At 35.8% G+C, this 3885-nt stretch overlaps 2 annotated features.

Annotated features, from left to right (window-relative positions):
• Positions 2229-2758: an enhancer, noted in NCBI's record as "OCT4-NANOG hESC enhancer chr4:85257789-85258318 (GRCh37/hg19 assembly coordinates)". NCBI's record gives its function as "activates a minimal SCP1, AML or CMV promoter by ChIP-STARR-seq in naive H9 embryonic stem cells {active_cell/tissue: H9 hESC(naive)}" and the evidence as "EXISTENCE:reporter gene assay evidence [ECO:0000049][PMID:30033119]".
• Positions 2759-3286: an enhancer, noted in NCBI's record as "OCT4-NANOG hESC enhancer chr4:85258319-85258846 (GRCh37/hg19 assembly coordinates)". NCBI's record gives its function as "activates a minimal SCP1, AML or CMV promoter by ChIP-STARR-seq in naive H9 embryonic stem cells {active_cell/tissue: H9 hESC(naive)}" and the evidence as "EXISTENCE:reporter gene assay evidence [ECO:0000049][PMID:30033119]".

The following is a 3885-nucleotide window of genomic DNA, read 5'->3' on the forward strand; positions in this document are numbered from 1 at the left end:
ATGTGTCTGTTTTTGTACCAGTAACATGCTCTTTTAGTTACTGTAGCCCTGTAGTATAGTTTGAAGTTGGGTACTGTTATGCCTCAAGCTTTGTTCTTTTTGCTTAGGCTTACTTTAGCCATTCACGCTCTTTTCTTGCTCCCATGCAAATTTTAGAATAGTTTTATTCTAATTCTGTGAAAAATGATCTTTATCGTTTCATAGAAATAGCATTAAAACTGTAAATTGCTTTGTGCAGTATGGCCATTTTAACAATATTGAGTCTGCCTATCCATGAGCATGGAATGTTTTTCTATTTGTTACTGTTGTCTCATCTTTCAGCAGTGTTTTGTAATTCTTGTAGTAGAGATCTTTCAACTTCCTGGTTAGCTGTATTCCTGGGTATTTTATTCTTTTTGTGGCTGTTGCAAATGGAATTGTGTTCTTGATTTGGCTCTCAGCTTGGATGTCATTGGGGTATAGAAATGCCTTGGATTTTTGTACACTGATTTTGTATCCTGAAACTACTGAAATTGTTTACTAGTTCTAGAAGCCCTTGGGCAGGGACTATGGGGTTTTCTAGGTGTAAACATTATGTCATCAGTGAACGGAGATAATTTTACTTCCTTTTTTCCAATTCGATGCATTTTATTTCCTTCTCTTTCCTGATTGCTCTAGCTAGGTGTTCCAGCATTATGTCGAATGGGAGTGGTGAGAGTGGGCATCCTTGTCTTGTTTCAGTTCTCAGGGGGAATGCTTCCAGTTTTTGCCCACTCAGTGTTATGTCGGCTGTGAGTGTGTGATTGATGGCTCTTATTATTTTGAAGTATGCTCCTTTGATGCCTAGTTTGTTGAGGGTTTTTATCATAAAGAGATGTTGGATTTCACAGAAGGCTTTTTCTGTGTCTATTCAGATGATCATATAGTTTTTGTCTTAATTCTGCTTTTGTGGTGAATCACATTTATTTATTTGTGTATGTTGATCAAACCTTGCCTCCCAGGAATTAAGCCTACTTGATTGTCGTGAATTAACTTATCGATGTGCTGCTGCATTCAGTTTGCTAGTATTCTGAGGATTTTTGCATCTATGTTCATCAGGCATGTTGGTCAGAGGTTTTCTTTTTTGTTGTGTCTCTGCAATGTTTGGTATCAGAATGATGCTGGATTTATAGAATGAGTTAGGGGGGAGTCCCTTCTCAGTTTTTTGGAATAATTTCAGCAGGATTGATACCAGCTCTTCTTTAAATGTCTGGTAGAATTTGGCTGTGAATCCATCGGGTCCAGGCCTTTTTCCAGATGGTAGGATTTTTATTACTAATTCAGTTTTTGAACTCGTTATTGACCTGTTCAGGATTTCAATTTTCCATGGTTCAATCTTACAAGGTTGTATGTTTCTAGGAACTTATCCATTTCTTCCAGGATTTCTAGTTTGTGAACATCTAGAGATGTTCATAATGTCTCTGAGGAATTTTTGTATTTCTGTGTGGTCAGTAATGCCATCTTTGCCATTTCTGATTATATGTATTTGGATGGTCTCTCTTTTTTATCATGATTAATTTAGCTAGCAGTCTATCAATCTATTTATTATTTGAAAAAAAACACAACTCCTGGTTTTATTAATCCAGTTTCATTGAATTTTTGCATCTCAATTTCATTCAGTTCTGCTCTGATTTTTGTTATTGCTTTTATTCTTCTAGCTTTGGAGTTGGTTTACTCTTGTTTTTCTAGTTCCTTTAGGTGTGATGTCAGGTTGTTAATTTGAGATCTTTCTAATTTCTTGATGTAGGCATTTAGTGCTATAAACTTCCCAAATACTGCTTTAGCTGTGTCCCAGAAATTCTGGTAAATTGTATCTTTGATTTTATTAGTTTTTCAAATAGTTTTTTTATTTCTGCCTGAATTTTTCATTCTTTATTCAACAGTCATTCAAGAGTAGGTTGTTTAATTTTCATGTGATTGTATAGTTTTAAGAGATCTTCTTGGTATTTATCTTTTTATTGTGCTATAGTCTGAGAGTGTGGTTGGTATAATTTTTGGTTTATTTGAATTTGTCAATAATTGCTTTATGGCCAAGTATGTGGTAGGTCTTATAGCATGTGCCATGTGGAGATGAGAAGAATGTATATTCTGTTTTCGTTGGGTCGGCTATTCTTTAGATGTCTATTAGGTCCATTTGATCAAGTGTTGAGCTTAGGTTCCAAATATCTTTGTTAGTTTTCTGCTTCAATGATCTAACATTGTCAGTGGCATTTCTGAAAGATGTAGAGAGAGCAAGCAACTTGGAAAACATATTTGGAGTCTCCCACTATTATTGTACTGTTATCTAAGTCTCTTTGTAGGTCTCTAAGAACTTGTTTTATGAATCTGGGTGATCCAGTGTTACATACATATATACTTAGGATAGTTAAGTCTTCCTGTTGAATTTAACCCTTTATCATTATGTAATGCCCTTCTTTGTCCTTTTTGATCATTGTAGGTTTAATGTTGGTTTTGTCTGAAAAAAAGCATAGCACTTTCTCTTCTTTTTTGGTTTTCATTTGCGTGATAGATCTTTCTCTATCCCTTTACTTTGAGCCTGTGGTTGTCATTGCATATGAGATGGGTCTCTTGAGGACAGCATATAGTTGGGTCTTGCTTCTTTATCCAACTTGACACTTTGTGTCCTTAAGTGGGACATTTAGCCTATTTACATTCAAGGTTAATATATGAGGATCTGACTCTGTCCTGTTGTTAGCTGGTTGTTATGTAGACTTGCTTGTAATTGCTTTAGTGCCTGTGGGCTATGTACTTAAGTGCGTTAACATTGGGTCAGATAACAGGTCTTTCATTTCTATGTTTAGCACTCCCTTAAGGACCTATTGTAAGGCAGATTTGATGGTAACAAATTCTCTTAGCATTTGCTTGTCTGAAAAGGATTTTATTTCTCCTTCACTTATGAAGCTTAGTTTGACTGGATTTGAAATTCTTGGTTGGAATTTATTTTCCATAGGGATGCTGAATACAGGCCTCCAATCTCTTCTGGCTTATAAGGTTTTTGCTGAAGGGTCCACTGTTAACCTGATGGAATTCCTTTTGTACATGACCTGCCCCTCCTCTTAAGCTGCCTATAAGGTTTTTTTGGTTGCCATGACTTTGGAGAAACTGATGACTATGTGTTTTGCAGATGGTCATCTTGTATAGTATCTCACAGGGGTTGTCCGAATTTCCTGAATTTGCATGTTAACCTTTTTAATGAGGTAGAGGAAGTTTTTGTGGACCATATCCTCGAATATGTTTTCCAAGTTGCTTGTTCTCTCTACATCTCTTTCAGAAATGCCAATGAGTCATATGTAAGGTCTCTTTGCTTAATTCCATATTTTTGGAGGATTTGTTCGTTTTTTAATTTTTTTTCTGCTTGCATTAATTTGAATGAACAGTCTCTTGAGTTCTGAGATTCTTTCCTCAGCTTGGTCTATTCTGTTATTAATGTTTCAAATTGCATTCTGAAATTCCTGTAGTGAATTTTTCATTTCCAGAAGTTCAGTTTGTTTTTTTCTTAAAATGGCTATGCTGTCTTTCAACTCTTGGACCATTTTACTGTTTCCCTTTGATTGGATTTCAACCTTTTCCTATATCTCAGTGAGCTTCCTTGCCATCCAGATTTTAAACTCTATGCCTGTTATTTAAGCCATTTCAGTCTGGTTAACAATCATTGCTGGGGAGCTAGTGTGATCACTTGAAGGTAAGAAGACACTCTGGCTTTTAGAGTTGCCAGAGTTCTTGGTTTTTCTCATCTGTGTGGGCTGATGTTCCTTTAATCTTTGAAGTTGCTGTTTTTTAGATGGAGATTTTTACTTTTATATTCTTTGATGCCATTGAGGGTTTGAGTGTGGTATAAATTGGGTTTAGTCAATTGGCTCCATTTCT

The sequence above is a fragment of the Homo sapiens genome, chromosome 4, assembly GCF_000001405.40.
Source record: "Homo sapiens chromosome 4, GRCh38.p14 Primary Assembly".
NCBI classification, from domain to species: domain Eukaryota; kingdom Metazoa; phylum Chordata; class Mammalia; order Primates; family Hominidae; genus Homo; species Homo sapiens.